This window comes from Homo sapiens, chromosome 5, assembly GCF_000001405.40.
Source record: "Homo sapiens chromosome 5, GRCh38.p14 Primary Assembly".
NCBI lineage: Eukaryota > Metazoa > Chordata > Mammalia > Primates > Hominidae > Homo > Homo sapiens.
The window spans coordinates 81,656,385-81,682,718 of NC_000005.10; the positions used below are offsets into that span (position 1 = coordinate 81,656,385).

The 26,334-nt window shown below is 35.6% G+C and overlaps 1 protein-coding gene across 91 annotated transcripts in view; it reads right to left on the reverse strand.

The window, feature by feature from the left end:
- The window catches only part of SSBP2 (single stranded DNA binding protein 2), a 339,004-nt gene that overhangs the window by 243,581 nt on the left and 69,089 nt on the right, over positions 1-26,334 (reverse strand). For 3 of the 91 annotated variants that reach the window (XM_017009309.2, XM_017009308.2, XM_047417064.1), the window contains exon 1: positions 591-11,863. The exons of the other annotated variants lie outside the window; for them this stretch is intronic. The gene's annotated coding sequence lies outside the window, so the exon portion shown is untranslated. Of the gene's footprint in view, positions 1-590; positions 11,864-26,334 lie in introns of those variants that run through there. 91 annotated transcript variants of the gene reach the window in all.

Here is a 26,334-nt window from a genome sequence, read left to right on the forward strand (position 1 = left end):
TCAACTGTTGACTGTCCCTACAAAAATTAAATAAAATTAAAAAGCAATAAAGGACATAACATATAGCCTTATGTCAAGGCTAATATGTTTAATATATAAAGAGGTTTCTGGGGGAACAGGTGGTATTTGGTTACATGAGTAAGTTCTTTAGCGGTGATTTGTGAGATCTGTGACATAACATATAGCCTTATGTCAAGCTAATATGTTTAATATATAAAGAGCACAAATAAAATGACATGTATATGAAGACCTATGAAGATCTTAATTTTTAAATAATGAGCAAGGTAAGAAAATGGAAATTCAAATAGGAAGAATGGTTACACATGGCCTGTAAGTAACTCCAAAAAAAAAAAAAACTGTTCAACCTCCTAGTCATAAGCATTTCAAAATTTCACTAATGAATGTAGCAAAAACTTTAAAAACATTAAAGTATTCAATGCCTATAAGGGTGAAATGTGAACGTGTAAATGGTGCAGCTTTTCAGGAAAATAACATGGCAAAATGAAAAAGTCATAAGTTTTTTTTTTAAGTGCAGAACAGTTTGTATAGTATGCTCTCATCTGTATTACAGAAATATTGTATGTACATACAAGCACTGGAACAAGTCACTCCCATGCTTCCCACGCTCATGGAATCATTTGAGTTCAAACAGTATCTTTTATTGCAGGCCTTTTTTCCTAGAGACTGGGGGCCTGGAATAAGAGGGAGAATTTTTTACCGCATAACTTTTCTTTTGTTTGATTACTTCCCCTGAGCTTATATTTCCTATTTAGAAAGAAATAAACAAGCAATAAAAAATTAAATACTAAACCTTTATATCCTTTTATATCCCAGCAATTTTTATTCTAAAATACTATTGTAAAGAATCAGAAAGCCAAACAATTTATAATAATGCCTGGGGCAAAATTATAGCAGTGAAAAACTGGCAATCTAAATATCTGAGAAAGAAGAAATAATTAGATTATGATAAATACATGTGATGGGGAAATATATTTTTGCAAAATGTTTAATGATATTAAGAAATGTTCATAATTCATTGCTAAAATTAAAACTCCCCAAATATATACAATGTGTGTAGAAAAAGAGTATAAGGAAATAAGAGTAATGGCTACTGGTAGAAACATTAACAAAAATAAGAAGTAACAGATGAAGTCCAACAAGTAGGAATGGGGCAGAAAAACTAAGTAAACCAGTGAAACTAGTATGGCCAACTTGGAGTTGGGCCAAATATCCCTGTGCCTCCCTCAGAAGGCCTAAGGGCAACTCTTATTACAGTACTGTCCTCTAATCAACAATCATAATGGTAGCTTTATGTCACCAGTAAAAGATTAAACTTTGTGGCACTCTAAACAAATATCGAAGGTATTCAGCTATATAAAAATATTAAATCTCTGGTTTATTTTCTGCAAATTCTTTTCCTAGTTTGTTGTGTGACTTAATTTTAGTCAGGTTTTTTAGAGGGAAGGAGGATTTAGCTATTTAAAATAAAATTTTGACAACAGAACAGAAACTTTATTTTTTAATTGATAAATAAAAATTGTATAAAATTTTGTCATATAAATATTCATAATATACAACATGATGTCTTGATACATGTATATATTGTGGAATGACCAAATCAAGCTAATTAACATATCCATTGCCTCAAATATTTATCTTTTCTGTGTGTGGTGAGAACACTTAAAATCTACTCTCTCAGCAACTTTCAAATATATAAAACATTGTTATTAATAACAACTATAGTCACCACATTACCACATTGTACAATAGATCTCTTGAATGTATTCCTAATCTAAATGAACTTTTGTTATTTTAGACAAACATCTCCAAAATCCTCCCTACTGCCAGCCCGATGACCACCATTCTATGCTGCTTCTATGGCTTCAATGTTTTTAGATTCCATACAACTGAGCCTCCTTATCTGTGGGTTCCGTGTGGTTGGATTCAACCAACCTGGGATCAAAAATACAAGCATCCCCCAGTATCCACGGGGATTGACTCCAATACCCCCACAGACACCAAAATCCACAGATGCTCAAGTCCCTTATACAAAATGGCATAGTATCTACACATAACCTGCACACATTCTTCTGTACATGTTAAATCATCTCTAGATTACTCTACTACCCAGTACAATGTAAATGCTATACAGTTATACTTTTTTATGTTGTATTATTTTTTATTGTTGATTTTATTTTTTTCCAAATATTTTTTATCCTTGAATGCAGAATCCACAGATACTAACGGCTGACTGTATAAGTGAGATTATATAGTATTTGTCTTCCTCTGCCTCACTCATTTAACTTAACGTAATGTCCTCCAGGTTCATCCATGTTGTCAAAATGACAGGATTTCCCTAATGAACATCGATGCGAAAATCCTCAATAAAACACTGGCAAACCGAATCCAGCAGCACATCAAAAAGCTTATCCACCACGATCAACTTGGCTTCATCACTGTTATGCAAGGCTGGTTCAATAAATGCAAATCAATAAATGTAATCCATCACATAAACAGAACCAATGACTAAAGCCACATGATTATCTCAACAGATGCAGAAAAGGACTTCGATAAAATTCAACATCTCATGTTAAAAACTCTCAATAAACTAGGTATTGATGGAACATATCTCAAAATAATAAGAGTGATTTATGACAAACCCATAGCCAATATCATACTGAATGGGTAAAAGCTGGAAGCATACCCTTTGAAAACTGGCACAAGACAAGGATGCCCTCTCTCACCACTCCTATCCAACATATTATTGGAAGTTCTGGCCAGGGCAATCAGGCAAGAGAAAGAAATAAAGGGTATTAAAATAGGAAGAGAGGAAGTCAAATTGTCTCTGTTCGTAGATGACATGACTCTATATTTAGAAAACTCCAGTGTCTCAGCCCAAAAAATCCTTAAGCTGATAAGCAACTTCAGCAAAGTCTCAGGATACAAAATCAATGTGCAAAAATCACAAGCATTCCTATACATTAACAAAAGACAAGTAGAGAGCCAAATCATGAATGAACTCCCATTCACAACTGCTACAAACAGAATAAAATACCTAGGAATACAACTTACAAGGGATGTGAAGGACCTCTTCAAGGAGAACTACAAACCACTACTCAAGAAAATGAGAGGACACAAACAAATGGAAAAACATTCCATGCTTATGGCTAGAAAGAATCATTATCATGAAAATGGCAATACTGCCCTAAGTAATGTATAGATTTAATGCTATTCCCATCAAGCTACCATTGACTTTCTTCACAGAACTAAAAAAAACTACTTTAAATTTTATATGGAACCAAAAAAAGAGCCTGTATAACCAAGACAATCCTAAGCAAAAAGAACTAAGCTGGAGGCATCATGCTACCTGACTTCAAACTATACTATAACGCTATAGTATAGCAAAACGGCTATAGTATACAAAACAGCATGGTACTGGTACCAAAACAGATATATAGACCAATGGAAAAGAACAGAGACCTCAGAAATAACATCACACATCTACAACCATCTGATCTTTGACAAACCTGACAAAAACAATCAATGGGGATAAAAATGGTGCTGGAAAAATTGGCTAGCCATATGCAGAAAACTGAAACTAGACCCCTTCCTTACACCTTACAAAAAATTAACTCAAGATGAATTAAAGACTTAAATGTAACACCTCAAACCATAAAAACACTAGAAGAAAACCTAGGCAATACCATTCAGGACACAGGCATGAGCAAAAACTCCATGACTAAAACACCAAAAGCAATGGCAACAAAAGCCAAAATAGACAAATGGGATCTAATTAAACTAAAGAGCATCTGCACAGCAAAAGAAACTAGCATGAGAGTGAACAGGCAACCTACAGAATGGGAGAAAATTTTTGCAATCTACCCATCTGACAAAGGTCTACCAGAATCTACAAGAAACTTAAAAAAATGCACAAGAAAAAAACGAACAACCCCATCAAAAAGTGGGCAAAGTATATGAACAGACCCTTCTCAAAGAAGACATTTATGCAGCCAACAAACATATGAGAAAAAGTTCATCATCACTGATTAGAAATGCAAATCACCACAATGAGATACCATCTCATACCAGTCAAAATGGCAATTATTAAAACATCAGGAAACAACAGATGCTGGTGAGGCTGTAGAGAAACAGGAATGCTTTTACACTGTTGGTGGGAATGTAAATTAGTTCAACCATTGTGGAAGACAGTGTGGCAATTCCTCAAGGACCTAGAACCAGAAATACCATGTGACCCAGCAATCCCATTACTGGGTATATACCCAAAGAATTATAAATCATTCTACTATAAAGACATATGCACATGTATGTTTACTGCAACACTGCTTACAATAGCAAAGACCTGGAACAAACCCAAATGACCATCAATGATAGACTGGGTCAAGAAAATGTGGCACATACACACCATGGAATACTATGCAGCCATAAAAAAGAATGAGATCATGTTCTCTGCAGGGACATGGATGAAGCTGGAAGCCATCATTCTCAGCAAACTAGCACAGGAAAAGAAAACCAAACACCACATGTTCTCAGTCATAAGTGGGAGTTGAACAATGAGAACACATGGACACAGGGAGGAGAACAACATAAACCGGAGCCTGTTGAGGGGTGGGGGGTCAGGGGAGGGAGAGCATTAGGACTAATACCTAATGAATGTGGGGCTTAACACCTAGATGACAGGTTGATAGGTACAGCAAACCACAATGGCGCATGTATACTACGTAACAAATCTGAACATTCTGCACATGTATCCTGGAACTTTAAAAAATTGTTTTTTAAAGACAGGATTTCCTTCTTGTTAAAGGTTGAATAGTATTCAATTTTGCATATATAGTCTATTTTCCTTCATCTGTTGATGGACACTAAGGTTGATTCCATATCTTGTCTATTGTGATTAAAGCGGCAATGACTATGGGAATGCAGATATCTCTCTGACATACTGATTTCATTCCCTGTGGATATACAGAGTGGGATTGCGAGATCATATGGTAGTTCTATTTTTAATTTTTTGAGAAACCTCCGTACTGTTTTCCATAATGGCTGTACTAATTTATATTCCCACCAACAGTGTACAATGGTTCCCTTTCATCCACATCCTCAATAACACTTCTCTCTTTTTTTTTTTAATAACAGCCATTCTAACAGGTGTCAAGTGATACCTCATTTTGGTTTTAATTTGCATTTCTCTGATAATTAGTGACACTGAGCATTTTTTCATATACTTGTTGGCCATTGGTATGTTTTATTTTGAGAAATTTCTATTCATGTCCTTTCCCCACTTTGTAATTGGGTTGTTTTCTTGCTATCGAGTTGTCTGAATTCCTTTACATATTTTTGATATTAACCCCTTATCAGGGTTTGGTTCGTAAATATTTTCCCCCATTCCCTAGGTTGTCTCTTCACTCTGGGATTATTTCTCTTGCAGAAGCTTTTTAGTTTGATATTATCCCATTTACCTACTTTTGCTTTTGTTGGCTATGCTTTTGAGGTCATATCCATGAAATCATTGCTAAAAGCAATGTTGTGAAGCTTTTCACCTATGTTTTCTTCTAGTAGCTTTATGGTTTCAAGTCTTATGTTTAAGTCTTCAGTCTATTTTGAGTTTGATTTTTGTCTGCGTTATGAGATGAGGGTCTAATTTCATTCTGCATGCAAATATAATACAGAACTTAGATACATTCATTGAATAAGCACTTAAGTGACTTCTCTCTGCCTAATCTATGAATTTTAAAATCTGAGAAAATGTCATTGCCATATCACCAAATAAAATTATTTCCAATTGGCCAGGTGTGGTGGCTCATGCCTGTAATCCCAGCACTTTGGTAGGCCAAGGTGGGTCAATCACCTGAGGTCAGGAGTTCAAGACCAGCCTGACCAAGATAGTGAAACCCTGTCTCTACTAAAAAGACAAAAAATTAGCCGGGCATGGTGGCAGACGCCCGTAATCCCAGCTACTTGGGAGGCTGAGGCAGAAGAATCGCTTGAACCTGGAAGGCAGAGGTTGCAGTGAGCTGAGATCGTGCCACTGCACTCCAGCTTGGGCAACAAGAGCAAAACTCCGTCTCAAAAACAAACAAAAAAAATTATTTCCAATTTACCTTATGAAAATTACAACTTCTGGCCGGGTGCATTGGCTCACACCTGTAATCCCAACCCTTTGGGAGGCTGAGGCAGGTGAATCACGAGGTCAGGAGTTCAAGACCAGCCTGGCCAAGATGGTGAAACCCCGTCTCTACTAAGAATACAAAAATTAGCTGGGCATGGTGGTGGACATCTGTAATCTCAGCTACTCAGGAGGCTGAGGCAGACAATTGCTTGAACCCTGGAGGCGGAGGTTGCAGCAAGCCAAGATCGAGCCACTACACTCCAGCCTGGGTGACAGAGCAAGACTCAATCTCAAAAACAGAAACAAAAAGAAAAAAAAGAAAATTACAACTTCTAAGAAAGAAACCTGAATTCTTTCCATTCATATGAACAAAATCCATTACATGCTTGCCAACAGGTATCATCTAACAGTACTAGGACAGATGAACTATTTAACTAATTAGGTATCTACAACAGAGACTGTTACTTAAGTGTCTAATTACAGATTCTGAACCATTCTTGTAAACGAATGAATGTACAGTCTGGGAAAGGAGTAAAGATCTTACTTTACTCAATTCTTTCTATGGTCTAGTTATCTAATTTGAGGTTAAATATAATGCTCTAAAATTTAGAATTGGTAGAAAATAAGAAAGATAGGCAAGATATTAAAGGTAAGTTTTCTAAGACAGTATTGTGGATTCACAAACAAGTTTACCAAGAAACACATAAATAAAAGGTAAATACTGCCTTTTAATTACCTATTAGCTCACAGCTAATTCCTAACTCTCTTTCTACATATATACATGTCCGTATGTATGTATGTATATAATACGACTATATATAACAAATCATTATTTAACAGAAGTCAGCTAATAAAATGGTCTTATTTTTAATCCCAATTTATAGAACAATTAAAGTAGATATGACTTTGTATCACAGAAAAGATTTTTTAACTTTGTGAACAGGATTCATCAAGTGTTTCCTTACATTTTATGTGCTAGTTATAAAACCGTATGATTTAATATTCACAAAACTTTTCAGAAAATGTACTATATATAATGTGTGCCAGTTCTAGACAACATTTGATTATGCCTCACAATACTGAAGTACACAGAGTTATGAACTATGCATAAATATCATTAGATAAGTGCCTATACAATGAGAAATCTAACTATCAATAAATGGCCACATCTGTCAACCTGACCATAATATCCTATATCTACTTTTCTACTTAGGTCTGTCTATTACCTATTAAAGAACCTGTCTTTTGCAACCTATCCTTTTAATATTCAAAGAAAGTGTAGGGTTGAAACTGAAAAGTAGCCATTTAATATGGGAAAACATCCAACTTTAGCAATGGGACAAATGATTTTGTTAGCATTTTGCCATTTTCTAACATTGAGCAACTAAAAAGATTCATATAAAAATAAGGCATGCAAATTAATGCATCCCCATTTGTAATTTTAAAATTCTTTGAGTTAATTCACTATATGTGCAAAGGTAGAGAAGAGACAGTAAAATAACAGCTTCCAAAAATGGCTCTTCCTAATTTCTCTTGAAATTAAACTACTATAATGTACATTTTCTGTCTTGTTTATCTCTGTATGTACTTTTTTAACTTTTTTTTTTGTTTTTTGTTTTTGTTTTTTTTTTTGAGACAGAATCTCACTCTATTGCCCAGGCTGGAGTGCAGTGGTGGCATCTCTGCTCACTGCAACCTCTGCCTCCCGGGTTCTAGTGATTCTCATGCTTCAGCCTCCCGAGTAGCTGGGACTATGGGCATTTGCCACCATGCCCGGCTAATTTTTTTTTTTTGTATTTTTAGTAGAGATGGGGTTTCACCATGTTGGCCAGGCTGGTCTTCAACTCCTGACCTCAAGTGATCCGCCCGCCTTGGCCTCCCAAAGTGCTGGGATTACTGGCGTGAGCCACCGCACCCTTTTTGGTCTTGTTAATCTCTGTATCTTCAGCTCCTAAAATAGTAGGTAACTAATAAATATTTTTGAATGCATTAATGACTCTCTCAGACCACACATAGGCATTTGTAGAATCCTTTGGTTTCTTCTATTCAAGGCATTCAAGGAAAAAAGTTTTAAGATCTCCCCTTAGATACCTATCTTAGCACAGCATCCTCTGATTCAGCCTCTCAATTAAATACCATACTGTTCGACAACATGGAAGTTACTAAACAATTCGTTCACACTGATTTCTAATTTCTATACACAAACAGGAATTTTTTAGAAAGAAATAAATTGGCTTGTTTAATTGGGGTGACAGATTTTTGGTGTTTTCTTTGTTGTGTTTTATTAAAAAGATCCTCAAAAGCATCTTTCCTCCTTATTTCCTTTTAAAAGGAAATAAAGGAAGTCTGCCAAAGATCAGATAGTTGTAGCAGTCTTATTTTCGGGTTCTCTGTTCTGTTCCACTGCTCTATGTGTCTCTTTTTGTACCAGTGCCATGCTATTTTGCTTACTGTAGCCTTGTAGTACAGTTTGATGCCAAGTAGCTTGATGGCTCCAGCTTTGTTTTTTGCTTAGGATTGTCTTGGCTATTAGTGCTCTTTTTTGGTTCCATATGAATTTTAAAATAGTTTTCTCTACTTCTGTAAAAAATATCAATGGTAGTTTAATGGGAAAAGCATTTAAATCTATAAATTGCTTTGGGCAGTATGGCCATTTTAATGATACTGATTCTTCCCATCCATGAGCATAGATGGTTTTTCCACTTGTTTTTGTCATCTCTGATTTCTTTGAGCAGTGGTTTGTAGTTTTCCTTGTAAGCAAGGCTAGAGAATAAATAATAAAATGAAGGTAGAGGGCTATGGAAGGGGTATTTTAGAAAGAATGGTCTAGCTGCTGCCACACAGCACTGATGGATGGATATATCTAAAATCCTACATCTGAATTCCACTTCCTATCCTACACCCTTAAATCCCGGTATCAGTCACTAGAGAAGCCTCAGATATAGACAACGTAAAATAGATTAGGTTTTCCTAAAGATCTTCCAGAGTCTTTTCTTTTTAATTGAGACAGAGTCTCACTCTGTCGCCCAGGCTGGAGTGCAGTGGCGCAATCTTGGCTCACTGCAACCTCTGCCTCCCAGGTTCAAGCGATCCTCCTGCTTCAGCCACCTGAGTAGCTAGGATTACAGGCGCCAGGCACCATGTCTGGCTAATTTTTTATTATTATTAGTAGTAGTAGTAGAGACGGAGTTTTACCATGTTGGCCAGGCTGGTCTTGAACTCCTGACCTCAGGTGATCTACCCGCCTTGGCCTCCCAAAGTGCTGGGATTACAGGCGTGAGCTACCAAGCCCAGCCTTGGAGTCATTTTAGATCTAGAAAAGAACCTCTCTTATTCCTGTATAATTCCAGTGTGGACCAATGATACTTATCAATGTCCAAATGTGATTCCTAGGTGACAAAATGCCAATAGTTAGCTGGATCACAGCCAGCTGAAGAGCAGTAAGGAGCATTTGGCAGCTTTTGAAAGGCTGCTCATAAGACTGTGAGTAGTTATAGCAGTGAAACAGGATCAGCCTGATCAAATGTTCAAAGCGCTTGCAACCTGCTGTTAAGGAGGTGTGAAAAATTAGAAATCTGTTTTTAACATTGTCTTTTTTAAGTTCCTCATTATTAACACTTAAGCTAAAAAACAGATTCAGAGTGTCAAAATCTCTGCCAATGGAACCAAATAACATGAATACCCAGCCTTTGTTTTAAACACACTTATAACGTATTTTTTATATTTTCAATGAGTTTTAGAGAAATAGATAACTGACATACTACATACAGATAATGAAGATACTGAACTGAGCATTAGTAATGTTCTAGAACAGGAATAATTGCATTAGTTAACACAGACAGAGACATCAATGAAAAATTTAACAACTAGATGGATAGTTGGGCATAAAAAAGTACTACTTTGCTGATGTTTCATTGATGTCATATATTATAAACAAGTAATACTGAGCATGTAGGTTTGGGATTAAATAATTTGGTGTGGCCAGAAATGTAAACACTTACCTCATATAGAAAGGCAATTTCAAAATTAAAATGACTACTATCAACTTTGGAGAACTGAAAAGGGCAAAGGCATAAAAATGTAAATTTTTAAAAACTAATTAAATCAATGTTATATTATAAATAATTATCTATAGAGTTTAGTAAAAATTTCCATTCAATCTTGCTTAGCAGTATACATTGGTATTACTGTGCTGGGTGCACTTGTTAATATGATTTGCTCTACTTCAATCCAATTTGAAGATCATCCTTTATACACAGGCTCCCACTTTCTATGGAATCTTGATATACACAGATTGTCATAATCTTTACTTTCTGTCTGTGTTATCCTCACAGAGAGCATATTGTCCTTTATATCCTCCCAAGACACTGGTGGCTTCTTAATACTTGTTGACTAACCTTGGAAGTCTTGCTGTACTCTATTTCAATGTTTTCACATAAAAATTAACACCAGAACCAGACTTCCACTCATGCCATGGAGGAGAATGTGGGATTTGACCTCTTGCTGTAAACAACTAAAAACTGGATATAGGAAACAACTGTTTTTAGACACGGGACAAAAGGCAATGCTTCCCAGCAATACCTTGATGAAAGGGGAAAAAATAGGTGGAGTCCTATCATCATCCTAGCTTTTTGCCTCAGGGCAAATTCCAGAACACAGTACAAGGACGGAGACATCCAAATACAGAACAACAGTCTCTTGAGTTGAGACCAAGATTTGGAGGAGGCTGAGGCAGCTGGAATTTATGAGGCAGAGTACCAGACAGAAGGGATACAGATACACACACACACACACACACACACACACACACACACACACACACACGCTCCAACAATCCATATAGGGGTTCCTTTACTAGAGCAGGCAAAGAACCATTGCTCCCACAGGGCTGGAAAACCACTGACTACTCAGTAGAAAGACCTCATTGAACACCAAGAGCATTCAGTAGAGACCAGTGGGTTCATACAGAGGCAGGGCTAACTTAGTCCTAAAGTAAAGCTACTATATGGACTCATTCTAACAATTATGGGTAATTTTAACAACTCAAACCAAGCTTTTAACAACATGTAACTATAGCCAGACTAATGTGGCTAGAAAGTAGCTTAAAGATACTTTACAGTATCATTACTGTAAAGATAAGTTACCTCCCTCAAAAAAAAGGCGATACTAGGAATGAAGTATAACTTTTAAGTGGGTGAAAGACTTGCCCAAATTACTAAAATTGTATTGAATTGTTACCTCTACAGAGAAAACAATATGAAGCACAAAGAAACACCAATATAATAACAAAAATTTTGTCACCATATTTTCTTATTAAGCATTTTTATTCTGTGACACAATGAAGAGTTCACAGTTTTCTAGTAGGTTATAGGTCTAATTTTGAAGTAGGATCAATGGAAAGAGAAACGGTTGACTTATAGAATTCAACTGATGGCAAAATGTCCTAGAACAGTTACTTTTATCAATCAAAGGATACTTGCAGTTATACTTGGAGCCAATCAGACAACCCTAACTTTCCCCACCTGAGAGAATAATGCTGTAACAGGTAATGAGTTACCTTTTCCAAACTGAGAAAATTAGCACTGCTTCGTGCTGGGAGGACACAGTGGGTATCAATACTTAACTAAGATACAATTACTGTTGATAGAAATTTCCTGGGAGCTAAATGCAAACCAATAAATATAATGCATCAATTCAGCACTACCCAGTAGACTTAAAGATAGAGCTTATATGGAAGTTTAAAAAAAAAAAAAAAAAAAAAAAAACAGGAAAAAGGAAAAAAAGTTTTTTCAAATAAATTTTAATTGTTCAGTTTTAACACAGAATTAACATTTCTTCATGCATTCAAATACGAATAGCCAAAACACAGTTACTCTAACCAAATATTCCTAAGTAGCTTAAAAATGACTAGGCTGTAAGATTTTATCCAGCCTACTTATCTCAATCCAAAGTAAATTTTCGTTAAAAAAAGAAACTAAACATAATTATAAAACTGCATTTTTACTTCTGAAATTAACCATGTTAAACTCATGTTTTAATTTATAAACAATTTATTTCATGTTTCTTAATATTCAATGCTGGTTATTTTTAGCCAGTTGAATTACTACTTAAATGGCCTTTCCTCCGTTTAATTGTATAACAGCACTACCACCAGACAATAGGTAAATAAAGCATAAAGTTTACTAAAATCAGTCAATAATATTAAATATTTTTACAAAAAAATTTTGGAATATTCATTTGAAATTAGTGTCTTTAATAAAGGTCTTGTTACATTTTACATTATATTTAGTCAAGGTCCTCATCATTTGTACAGAAAATTTAAAGACAGAAAAGAAAATTATCTTTACAAATTATTTCCCAAAGGAATAATTTTAGCCAAGTTCCAAGTGTTCTTAAATTAAAATTTTGAAACTTAAAAACTGTGTCTCTACCATCTCAGTACAGTTCTACCTCTGGAATTTATTCTAAAGAAAAAAGTATATAAAAAGTTTCATATAAAGGATTTTTATGATAGGGTTTTTTACTGACAGTAAAAGACAAAATGGAAGTAGCCTGTATGTTCAACTAAATAGAAATGATTAAATTATGGTACACTATTTTGCATATATGTAAAAAGTAATGAAAGTATATAGAATAAAACTTTGCAAAGTAATTACAACAAACCCTGACAACAGTAAATTCTGGCAATGATGTAGAGTAACAGAGATTTTCCTTCATTGCTGGTGGGAATGCAAAATGGTCCAGCCACTTTGGAAGACAGTTTGGCAATTTCTTACAAAGCTAAACATACTCTTATCAGGAATTGTACTCCTTGGTATTTACCCAAATGAACTGAAAACTTATGTCCACACAAAAACCTGCACACAGATGTTTGGCAACTTTATTCATAATTGGCAGCACTTGGAATCAAGCAAGATGATTTCAGTAGGTGAATGGAGAAATAAAGTGTAGTACATCCAGAAAATGAAATATTCAGTACTAAAAAGAAATGAGGGGACATGGATGAAGCTGGAAGCCATCATCCTCAGCAAACTAACACAGGAACAGAAAACCAAACGCCACATGTTCTCACTCATAACTGGGAGCTGAACATTGAGAACACATGGACACATGATGGGGAACATCACACACCACGGCCTGTTGGGGGATGGGGGATGAGAGTTGAGGGGAGGGAACTTAGAGGACAGGTCAATATGTGCAGCAAACCACCATGCCACATGCATACCTATGTAACAAACCTGCACGTTCTGCACATGTATCCCCTTTTTTTTGTTTTTAAAGAAGAAATGAAGAAAAAAAGAAGGCAGAAAAAAAAGAAAAAGAAAAAAGAAATGAGCTATCAAGGTATGAAAAGACACGGAGGAAACTTAAATGCTTATGACTAAGAGAAAGAAACCAATCTGAAAAGGCTACATACTGTATGATTCCAACTTTATGACATACTGGAAAAGGCAGAAGTATAGAGAGACAGTAAAAGGATAAGTGGTTACCAGGAGTTAGGGGGTCAGAGGGATGAAAGCCACAGAATGCAGGATTTTTAGGGCAGTGAAACTACCTTGTATGCTACTACAATGGTAAATACATGCCATCATGTGTTTGCCAAAACTCATAGAATGCACACCACCAACAGAGAACCCTAATGTAAACTATGGACTTCGAGTAATAATGAGGCTTCAATGTAGGTTCATCAATTATAACCAAAAGTATCATTATGGTGGGGGATGTTGATAAACGTGGAGGTAACACATGTGTGGGAGCAGAAAGAATATGGGAAATCTCTATATCTTCCACGCAATTTGCTGTGAACCTAAAAGTTAAAATTTATTTTAAAAGTTATTACAATGGGTAATGAAGCTTCCTACTCCTCTATGCTTTTCTATATTTGGCAGTTTTTCTGTATCAAGAAAAAAATTTCTAAACTTAGTAAAGTTCCTATCTCCATCTCCAATCTTACTGTAAATTATCTACATGTAACATTTTCCTCAAGTACAGATGAACAAGTTTACTGTAACAATAAGTTATGTCAACATACTATAACCAAGAAAACATCTTCTTTCTAAATAATGTAAATTTTATATCCCGTGAAAATACTTTAAAGCTTTCTAAAGTTTTTTTCCTCTGACAAGGAAAAGCATTGAAAATAACTTATTTATAATTTCCTCCTCGCTTTACCACTATTTTTTCCTTAATTCCCCCTGTGAATTCTCTTTTGTGATCTTTACACATGCCATTTTGGCATTTAAATCTACTTTGCTTTACATCTGCTTTCCTTTCCCATCCACTTTACCTTCTTCTTTAATGTTTCCCCTATTCCTTCCTTAATTCTAGCCAAATCTCTGTGCTCGTCTAGCTGTGACACATTCGGTGATGTCTTCAGTTATACCTACTTCATCAGTCATATTTAAGTATGCACATTAATATTCACCATTAAGTGATGCCAGTGCTTATAATCCATTTTCTACTTTCTCCAAATGAATTCTGAGTTTTTCTCATTGCTAATTTCAGCAATATATCCGACCTGTACTCCTTAGGACACAGGCAGAACAGAAAAGAAATGCTTCAGATGAATACACCTATAGACACAGGGTCCACAACTCTAATACCACTGAAGGAAGTGGGCAGATGGTCAAAGGAAAATCCCAATTCATGAAAAACCCAGGATAATCTTTTCCCTCTGATTTTAGAGGATAGAAATGTATGGTAATCATTTTTAAAAACCATTATTTGGAGCTATTTTTTAAAGGCTCCAAATAAAATAATCAGAATCACAGGGTATTTTTTTCCTCTGGGCATTAAGCCACTTCTTAGCCCTAGTTTAATATATTAAGATATCAACAACATTTGCTCTTTGAGGCTGTTTATTCCTCTCTTCATTAGTCAACTCTTAAGCATCTACTTTGTGTAAAGTACTGAGAACCAATGAAATGTAATTAATATAAGACCCACTAATTCAGAATTTGTGGCAATATGGTCAGGGGATGCATCATTACTCCAAGAAAGAGTTTAACAATTTAGTACCATAAGGATAATTCTAAACATCAAATGTTTGAAACAAAAACCATTTTCAAACATCCTGAGAAAGTTTATGAATAAACACTTACTATGCTAATCACCATCAACAGTTTAGTAAGCTTCTATTAATGTTCCAGCACTTAAGAAAAAAACAAAATCTTAAGAAAAAAACAAGATGCAAATCTTGCCCTTAAGTAATTTTCAGATTTGCTAATGGGACAAGACATATAATTAAAATTAAGATCAATAATACAAAGGAGCATGTGACAGGTGTACAGGCAATAAAAACATCAAGAATGTTGAATAGGAAGAAACCATGGAAGAGGTTCTTCACAAAAGGGCTTTAACAGGAATTAAGGGAAATGGGATAAGCAGAGAGAAAAGGGGATTTTTAAGGAAAGAATAATAGCATGAAAGAATTATCTACACTATATGTGACAGTGGTTGCCAAAATAAAATTCTCTATGTACTTGAAAGTAATAAAATGGTTTCATAAAATATTCTACTATTGAGCCACATTTCTTCTACACTATCAATATGCAAAAGAAAGATTTTGCTCCATTATATTATTTTTACTACAAAACAGTAATAGCAACTTATATTTATAGTGTTTTATAGCTTATATAATGCTTCCACATATGAAATTATTAATTAGTAGCAGCTTACTAAGAATTTTTCACATAATTCTCTTATTTTTCAACTTACAGTAAAATAAGCCTTATATGCACATATAATTGAAAAGATATTCATCTACATGGCATTTCCTAATTAAAATTTAGGTTACTATGAAAACTGTTGGAACACAAAAACTTAGTAACCAAAATCATAAGCAAATACCCAGAAAATTTTTAAATACAAGAAAATAGTCCATATTTTTCAAATTTAGATAAAATTATTCTGATTCTTCCATTATTTTTGTCTAAAATAAATGTTTAAGATGATCTCCACATATGAAGCCAAAATAATCAACAAATGAAAGAGAAAAATAGACAAGGGAAGAAAAGATTAAACACGACATATGCTTCAACTAAATTAATCTCCAGATACTTTTTCTTTTTTTTTTTTTTTGAGATGGAGTTTCACTCTTGTTGTCCAGGCTGGAGTGTAATGGCACGATCTTGACTCACTGCAACCTCCACCTCCCAGGTACAAGTGATTCTCCTGCCTCGGCATCCTGTGTAGCTGGGATTGCAGGTGCCTGCCACCACATCCAGCTAATTTTTTTGTATTTTTAGTAGAGACGGGATTTCACCATATTGACCAGGCTGATCTCAAACTCCTGACCTCAGGTGATCTGCCTGCCTTGGCCTCCCAAAGTGCTGGGATTACAGGCGTTAGCCACCTCACCTGGCCTCTTTTTTTTTTTTTTAAACAGTCTCGTGCTATCCCTCAGGCAACCTCTGCCTCCCAGGATAAAGCGATTCTCACGCCTCAGCCTCCTGAGTAGCTGGGACTTACAGGCGCCTTGCCACCACGATGGCTAATTTTTGTATTTTTAGTAGAGACGAGGTTTTGCCATGTTGGCCAGGCTGATCTCAAACTTCTGACCTCAGGTAGTGATCTGCCGTCCTCGGCCTCCCAAAGTGCTGGAATTACAGGCATGAGCCACCACACTCGGTCCAGATATTTACTTTCTAATCACTTGCACTAAGAAGCATTTAGCACCCATGGGTGACCAAATAAAAAGACAGTAAGCTAAGACGTCTTGACTTCCCTAAGTCCAGATGAAAATAATCAGACTAACTCTTTGATTTTGGATAAGCAATCACAGCATAATCACCAAATTTGAAAATAAAACTAAGGAGCTAACTAATATATTTATATTCCTGAATTAGGATCCCAAAAGAATAGGGAACTCTGAAATACTGCACTAAATCCATTAAGACTAACTTAACAAAAACCAATGTAAAATCCTGTGCTTGAATCAAAAAAACTTGTAAAGGATGACAAATATGACTTAACAACAGCCCATATGAAAAGACAGGTTTTAGTTGACTGCAAATTCAAGATGAATTAATCGTGTATTTGCCCTGCCAAAAGAGCTAATTTTACCTTAAAATGCATTAATAGACTATAAGAACTAGAAAAAAAGAGGTAATAGTCCTACAAAGATGAGGAGAAAAGAGACAAGTCAAGAGAAATGGCTGAAAGTGTCAGTGATGCATAGCCTGCAAAAAGAAAAGGCCCAAATACTTAATAGGTTGTCAGGTATTAGAGGGCTTGGTCTTATTTCACATGGCTAAAGACGTTGGCACTAAATCAATGAATTAAAATGATAAGAAGGCAATTTTTAACTCAATACTACATACCAAAGACCTTGTCTGTAACCATTAGAGCTATTCAAAAATGTTACAGACTGAGAAATGAACCATTTGGGAGTTGGGATATAGAAGTGTCCAATCAATGAAAGTGTAAAAATACAGGTTGAAGCCAGGCATATTGCAGGAGCTTTATATCCATTGAATAGAGGTTTGAACCAGATAACCTTTAAAATATCTCCTAAGTACAAGATTATTTAATCCTATCATTACTAAAATTTGGCCCAGAGGGAATACATGATTTCAAGAGTAACAGAACTAGTGAGTAGAAGAGTTAAGGATGTATAATTCCTGAAGCTTAGTCTACTATATCTAGAAAAATACTATAAAACATCATGATTCAGTATTTTCCCTCAAAGAAATTATACTGCCCAGGAAATCTCACTTTGGGACCAAGTAAAGGACCAAGAAGTGGCAAGCTCACACGTCAAAGTTAAACCTAAGGCAACTGCTAGCACAACCGCTACCACTCTCACCACATACCCCTCCACTCAAATATTAAGAAGATAAACTCTATTTCTTCACAATATAAGTCTGTGTGGTTCCCCATGGCTCACTGTAGACCAATGTTCCAAAGTTTCCAAGCCAATTTATATCTATGGGAAATATGTGGTCCTACCAGTCAAAGCTTATTCAATTGACTCAATGACAGTTGGTTAAATGAGCAAATTCGGAGCAACTAGATTTAGAATCATTAAACAGTAAGAGGTATATCAGTATAAAACTTTTCTCTAAAATATTATGCAATTTCTAAACATATTTATTCCTTCCTAATTCTCCCAGATGTTAGCTTTTCAAAGAGCAGATAATTTCTACATTTTATATTAATTGAATCCTTTTAACCTAATCTACCCTATAATTTAAAAAAACATACTTTTATTCCAAAACGGTTGAAAGGGATAAATTACACTAATATTGACAATTACAAAGTCATCTAAATAGAAAATGTGTTCTAATAGGCTCATGGTACTAAACCAGACTACTATGCCACTTCAGTGTTTTCTTGGCATATCAAAACGTAATTTATAGACTGTAAGTAAAATATTTTAGTAAAGGCCTACTTTTCTTAATTGACTGCCCTAAATATTTGCATAATTAAATGTATTTGAAGGCAGAATAGATTGCAGATCAAAGTACTGTTGTGCGCAGAATCTATTCCTATATCTTTTAACAGTTCCCTTTTGATTATCCACAGTAATTTCCAAGAGAAATACCATAGAAGCTCCAAAAGAGCAGATTAACCAAAAGCACAGAGCCTTAATAAGGTATTCTCTTCCCCAAACACATATACTGAGCACAAACATATACACATGCATGCACACACACACAATTTTAATCCCTTCTATTGCAGAAACTGGAAGTTGCCTCCAGGGTCTCTCCACTGAGTGGTAAGAAACCAAATTTTTAGCTAGACACATTGTTCCCCAGCTAAAAAATAATAGTCCCCCATCATCTCCCTTAAAACTGGGTACATTCACTTGCCTAAAGTTTGGCCAAAGAGTTGTAGATTGAAGTGGGAAGACTTAAACAGGGTGTATACTCTTCTACATTCCTTCATCCAGCTACCAGTTTGTAAGACAGGTGTGATGTCTAGAGTTTCAGCCTCCATCTTGGGCTACAAGAATATACCATTTTAGGGATGCCAAAATAAAACGGTACAAGTGGAATAGATACCTAGACAGCTTCACGAAACTGCCAGCTTATCTCTGGATTCTCAACCTTCAAACTTCATTTATTTAAGAGGAAATAAATTGTAATCCTGTTACTTTTACGTTTTTTGTTATATGCAACCTAATGAAATCCTAACTAGTAAATGTGTTGATAAATCAGGGGTGCTTGGTAGCCTTCCCATAATACAAGTTCCACACAATTCTGCCCAAACTGATTGCTGTGCAATCCTTGTTTTAGTTTACTTCTTTAGTGTATTTAATCATCATTATGACTCCCTCAAAGTTAAAACATCAAATCACTCCCTACTTGTTCTCCCCCATATCTTAAATCATTCCTTTGTTCTTCCTACATGCTTTTCTCCTCTACGTAGACCTAAAATATCAACATTCCCTAAGGTTACCTCATGGTCTTCTCATTCCACACATTTTCCTCAGACCCACTACGTCAGTCAATAGAAAACAGCCAATCTTTGCACTACTAAACCTCTGTCCAACTCAATGTGCTAAAAGCTGCAGATGTATTTATTCAACTGTTTACTGAGCATATTCACCTGAAAGTCCCTCAGGCAACTTAAATGCCATCGCTTCTCTGTTCTGCCTCTTAGTTAATGACACCATAGCCACTCAGCTGCTCAAACCAAAAACCTGACAGTTACGCTCAATTTCTTACTCTTAACTGATATCCAACCAGTCACTAAGTATTTTGAATTTTATAGTCTATGGCTCATAACCATCTTATTTGGCAATGTCCTCACTGTCACTATTATAATAGTATTTGAAGTGGTCTTCTTTTCTCCTATTCCTGCTCCTTTCCATAGTGAAGTCAAAAGATGATGTGAAAGTGTTATTCTCTTCAAGTTGCTTCCCCATCATCGGTAGACCTTCATATCTACAGGAGAGGGGCCAGATATGTAAATATGCAAGCACGGTCTTCCTAGATTTAGCGATGGCTCTTTCTACAATCTCATTCCGTATCTCAACCCACGTAACACATTCATGTTGAAACCACACCGAACAGTCCCCCAAATGAACAGCATCGTTTCACAGCTAATTACCTTTCCAGATGCTGCTGCCTAGAATTTCCCCTCCTGCTAAACCAGGAAAATGGCTCCTCCTCCTTGAAGAGCCTAATCCAGTATTTCTTAACCGTGAAGCCTTTCCTAACTACCATCCTCTCTTACCCCCTCCTTCCCCTCTTTGTAGAACTACTGTATCTTTGTTATAGAAATTACGCAAATAAATAATTATGACTGAGTATAGTAGCTAGTTATTTTAGAATTTAATACTAGAAAAAAATACAAATTATCTTTGCATCCCTAGCAATTCTCTGACACCTGGTAGATGTTAGTGGAAAGAAGAAAGGAAGGGAAGAAAGGGAAAAGGAAAGAAAAAGAAAAAGATAAAGGAAAGAAAAGGAAAAGAAGGAAGCCTGGCTCTTTAGTCCTCATAACTCTATCAGAAAAATTAAGAGCCAGGAAGATTTCAAAATTTATTCAAGGTCACTCAGTAATTAATACGCAGGGTAAAGTGTTATGATCTTCCATCTGTTTCTCAAGTTTACTTTAGTCTCAGAATAATAATATTCGTTTAAGGCCTACTCTCCTTTTCCCCCAAATTTCAATACTCTTTAAGAGTGGCAGAAAAATTATTTATAAAACTAATGTGCCCCAAAGCATAAAAAGTTGCCTATTGGACATCCAGTTTCTAGTCCAGCATATAAGAAGCTTAGAAATCACCAATCTATCCCAACAACAAGTAAAAAGCTGAACAAACAGAAAAATCAACAGCTATTCTTAGCTCCATAAAATAAGTGAGGTCACAGGGCAAACCACTGCCCTCCAAAACTGAAGAGACAGGCAGGTATAGAGAATCACAGCTTACCATAAGAAACAAACAAACAAACAAACAAAAAACCCTGAGCAGAAATCTCTGCAGGAATCAGCGCCAGGGAAGGAAAATCTAATCTGTAATTGATAAATTGCTGGAGGCTCAGCGTGGACAAGTCCAAGAGTAAAAAAACTCCACGGGGAACCAGTTACTGGAGAGGCCTCCACACTTTTGCAAGTTTTATTTCTAAGAACCCAATCTGGTTCTCACACTAAGTATCAGAGAAAAATACCCTAATGCCTCTATCAAGGGGAGAAATAAAGAAACTATTTTTGAATACACAGTGTATTCTGTTCCTAACCAGGTCTGCTCTCAGGAAGAACTATTTTGCCACAGCATACTCTGGCTGGGTTTTAATCAGAACCTAACTGACCTGAGGAAAAGGACATACCAATTGCAGCCCCCTCCAGACATCTTGTCCCACCTTAAGGGTGAAAAAAAAAAAAAAAAAGCACTGATGAAGCTCAGTCCAGGGGCACCAGCTCACCAAAAGACACAGTCCTTATCACAGGACTATAAAAGGCTTTCCCTCCCCCAACACAACACCACTAAGCTACTAAAGGCCTATTTACAGCAATTGTTTTTATCCAGCACATCATGTCTGGCTTTAAGAAAAAATTACATGGCATATGAAAAGGCAAATGTACAGTTTGAAGAGACTGAACAAGAACCAGAACCAGGGTCTGATATGGCAGGAATGTTAGAATTATCCAATCAGGAATTTTCTTAAAACTATGACTAATATGCTAAGGCTTTAATGAAAAAAGTAGACAATATGCAAGGACAGATGGATAATGTAAGAAGAGAGATGGAAATTCTAAGAATGAATCAAAAAGAAATTCTAGAGACCATAAACACTGTAAAAAAAATGCGGAATGTCTTTGATGGGTCTATTAGTAGACTAGATGTGGCTGAAGGAAGAATCTCTAAACTTGAGGATATCTCAACAAGAACAGTCCCAACTGAAAAGCAGAAGGAAAAAGACTGCAAAAAATAAATAAAAAGAACAGAATATCCAAGAACTGTGGGACAACTATAAAAATTTTAACATACATGTAATGAAAAAAGCAGTAGGAAAGGAAAGAGAAAAAGGAACAGAAGTAGTATCTGAGCAATAATGACTGATAATTTTTCCAAATTAACGTCAAACACCAAACCACAAATCTAGGAAGCTCAGAGAACACCAAGCATGATAAAGGACAAAAAAATCCTACACCTAGGCATATCATATTCAAACTTCAGAAAATCAAAGATAAAGAAAAAAATCTTGAAAAAAGCCAAAGGAATAAAACACTTTATCTACAGAAAAGCTAAGATAAGAATTATATCTGACTTATCCTCGGAAACTATGTACGCAGGAATAAAGTAGAGTTGAGAGGAAAAAAAATAAAAGAACGCCAAACCTAGAATTCTATATCCTGTGAAATTATCTTTCAAAAGTGAAATAAAGACCCATAAAAATTGAAAATTTGTTGCCAGCAGACCTACTTTGAAAGAAATTTTAAAATAAATTTTTCAGAGATAAAGAAATTAACATCTGTCAGACTTGGGTCTACATTTTTAAAAAAGGAAGAGCATTATAGAATGAATAAGTAAAGGTAAAATAAAATTTTTTATTTATTTATTTATTTTGAGATGGAGTCTCACTCTGTCGCCCAGGCTGAAGTGCAAAGGCACAATCTCAGCTAACTGCAGCCTCTGCCTCCCAGGTTCAAGCGATTCTCTGCCTCACCTTCCAGAGTAGGTGGGATTATAGGTACACACCACCACACCCAGCTAATTTTTGTATTTTTAGTAGAGACGGGGTTTTGCCATGTTGGCCAGGCTGGCCTAGAACTCCTTATCTCAAGTGATCCACCCACCTTGGCCTCCCAAAGTGCTGGGATTACAGGCATGTGCCACTGTGCCCAGACTACTTTTCTTATTCTTCATTGACCTAATAGATAGTTGGTTCAAAGTAAAATATCAACAATGTATTTGATTATGTATGCTTATATACGTATCCTTATATGTAAGTAAAATGAATGACAGCAACAATAAAAGGAATGAGAGGAAGGAATTAGTAATATTTTGCTATAATAGGGTACTTACACTAACCATATAGTGGTATAGTGTTATTTGAAAGTGAATTTGGGTTAGTTATAAAAATGTATATTTCAAACTTCAGAGCAAACACTATAAAAGTTTTTTAAAAGCATAATTGATATGCTAAAAAAGGAGAAAAATGGAATCATATACAATGCTCAACTACAAAAGGCAAACAAGTATGTGAGGCAAAAATAAGAACAAAGTACAAGTGCCAACAAATAGAAAACAGTAATAAATATGGTAAATATTAATCCAACTACATCAATAATCACTGTGATGGTTAAGTCTTACAGGTCTAGGGTAAGGGATTCCAGATAGGTGGTAAAACATCATACATTTCTGGTTATGTCTATGGTAGTGTGTCTGGGAGAGACTTGCATTTGAATTGGTAGAGTGAGTAAAAAAGATTGCCCTCACTAATAAGAATGGGCATCATCCAATCTGGTGAAGGCCTCAATAGAATAAAAAGGTGGAAAAAAAAAAAAAAAGCAAATTTTCTCTCTCTGCTTGAGGTGGGCCATCTACCTTCTGTCCTCAGACACTGCTGTTCCTAGTTCTCTGGACATTGAACTCAAACAGAAACCGTTCCCAACACCTGGCCCTGCCACCCCACCCTGTTCTTGGGCCTTTAGACTCAAACTGGGACTTACACCATTAGCTCTCATGGTTTTCAGGCATCTGAGTTTGGACTAGAACTACATCACCAGCTTTCCTGGGCCTCCAGCTTGCAGATGAAGGATTGTGGGACTTAGCCTCCATAATCATATGAGCCAATCCCTCATAATAATAAATATGCATGTATGTATATGTGTATATTATATATAATATATAATTATGTTATAATATATAATTTATTATATATAACTTATAATATAATCTATATAATTATATATAACATAATCTATAGGTTCTGTTTCTTGGAGAACTCAAACTAATGCCATCACATTAAACGTCAGTGGTGTAACTACACCAATTAAAAGAGATTGTCAGAGTGGATCAAAAAAATAAGACTCAGCTGTATGTTGTCTACAAGATACCCATCTTAAATATAAAAGACACCCATAGTTTAAAAGTAAATGGATGGAGAAAGATATACCATGCTAATGCCAATCAAAAGAAAGCCAGAGTAGCTATATTAATTTCAGACAAAGCAGACTTCAGAGTAAGGAGGCCTATCTGGAATAAGAGGGACATTATGTAATGGTAAAGGGGTCACTACTCCAAGAAGACATAAAAAACTTTAATGCGTATGCACTTAACAACAGAGTGACAAAATACATGAGGTAAAAACTGATAGAACTACAAGGAGAAATAGATGAACCTACTATTGTATTATACTTGGAGACTTTAACACTCTTCTATGAGAAATGGACGGTTCCAGCAGGCAGAAAATCCATAAGGACCTACTTGAACTCAACAGCACCATCAATAAACTGGATATAATTGACATCTATAGGCTACTTCTTCCAACAACAACAGATCATACATTTTATTCAAGTTCATATGGAACATTCACTAAGACAAACCACATTTGGGGCCATAAAACACACCTTAGCAAATTTAAAAGGATAGAAATCATATAGTATCTGCTCTCAGACACAAAAGAATTAAACTAGAAATCAATACCATAAAGATAACTGGAAAATCCAAAAATATTTGGAGGTTAAACAATGCACTTCTAAACACACACACAAGTCAAAGAAGAAATCTCAAGATAAATTTATAAATATTTTGAACTAAAAAAATGAAAATATGGTCAGGCGCGGTGGCTCATGCCTGTAATCCCAGCACTTTGGGAGACCGAGGAGGGCAGATCACCTGAGGTCAGGACTTTAGGACCAGCCTGGCCAACGTGGCAAAACCCCATCTCTACTAAAAATGGAAAAATTAGCCGGGTGTGGTGATGAGCACCTGTAATCTCAGCTAGTTGGGAGGCTGAGACGGAAGAATCGCTTGAACCCAACAGGCAGAGGTTGCAGTGAGCCAAGATCGTACCACTGCACTCCAGCCTAGGCAACAGAGCCAGGCTCCACCTCAAAAAAAAAAAAAAAAAGAAAATACAACTTACCAAAATTTGTGAAATGTACCAAATGCAGTGCATAGAGAGAATGTTATAGCATTAAATAAATATATTAGAAAATAAGAAACTTTTTAAATCAATAATCTTAGCTTTCACCTTAGGAAACTAAGGAAAAGAAGGGCAAATTAAATCCAAAATAAGCCAGAGGAAAAAATCTGAGCAGAAATCAATGAAATTGATGAAAAGGAAACCAACAGAGAAAATCAACAAAGCCAAAGGCTGGTTGTTTGAAAAGATAAATAAAATTGATAAGCCTCTAGCAAGCTAACTGACAAAAAAAGAGAAGACAAGTTACTAATATCTGAAATGAAAGATAAGACATCACTACAGATCCCATGGATATTAAAAGAATAATAAATACTATGAACACCTCTATACTCAAAAATTTGATAACCTAGATGAAATAGACCAGTTCCTTGAAAGTCATAATATACCAAACTCACACAGGAAGAAACAGACCACCTGAATAGGCCTATACCTGTATTAGAAACATTGAATCAATAATTAATAATGTTCCAAAAGAGAAAGAGCCAAGCCCAGATGTGTGGGCTGGCGAATTCTCCCAAATATTTAAGGAAGAAATTAGAGTAATTTTCTACAATCTCTCATAAAATAGAAGCCAGGGGAATACCTTCTAACTCATTCTATCAATACCAAAACCAGACAAAGACATTACAAGAAAAGAACATGACAGACCAATATCTCTCATGAACACAGATGCAAAAATCCTCAACAAAATATTCAACAATGTATAGGAGGAATTATACAGCACAGAACCAACTGAGTTTTATTCCAGGTATGCAAAGCTGGTTCAACATTCAAAAATCAAATAGTATAAGTGGTCACATCAACAGGCTGAAGAAAAAAATTACAATTACATCCATACATGTAGCATTTGATAAAATCCAACACCCATTCATGATAAAAAACTCTGAGTAACCTAGAAATAGAGGGGAACTTCCTCAACTTGATGAAGAACATCTAATAACCTACAGATAACATATTTAACGGTGAAAAACCTGAAGTTTTCCCACTAAGGTCATAAAAATGTCAAGGATGTTCCCTCTTACCACTGCTTTTTGGCATTGTACTGGAAGTATCACCTGACACAATAAAACACAAATAGGAAATAAAAGGCAAACAGATTGAAAAGAT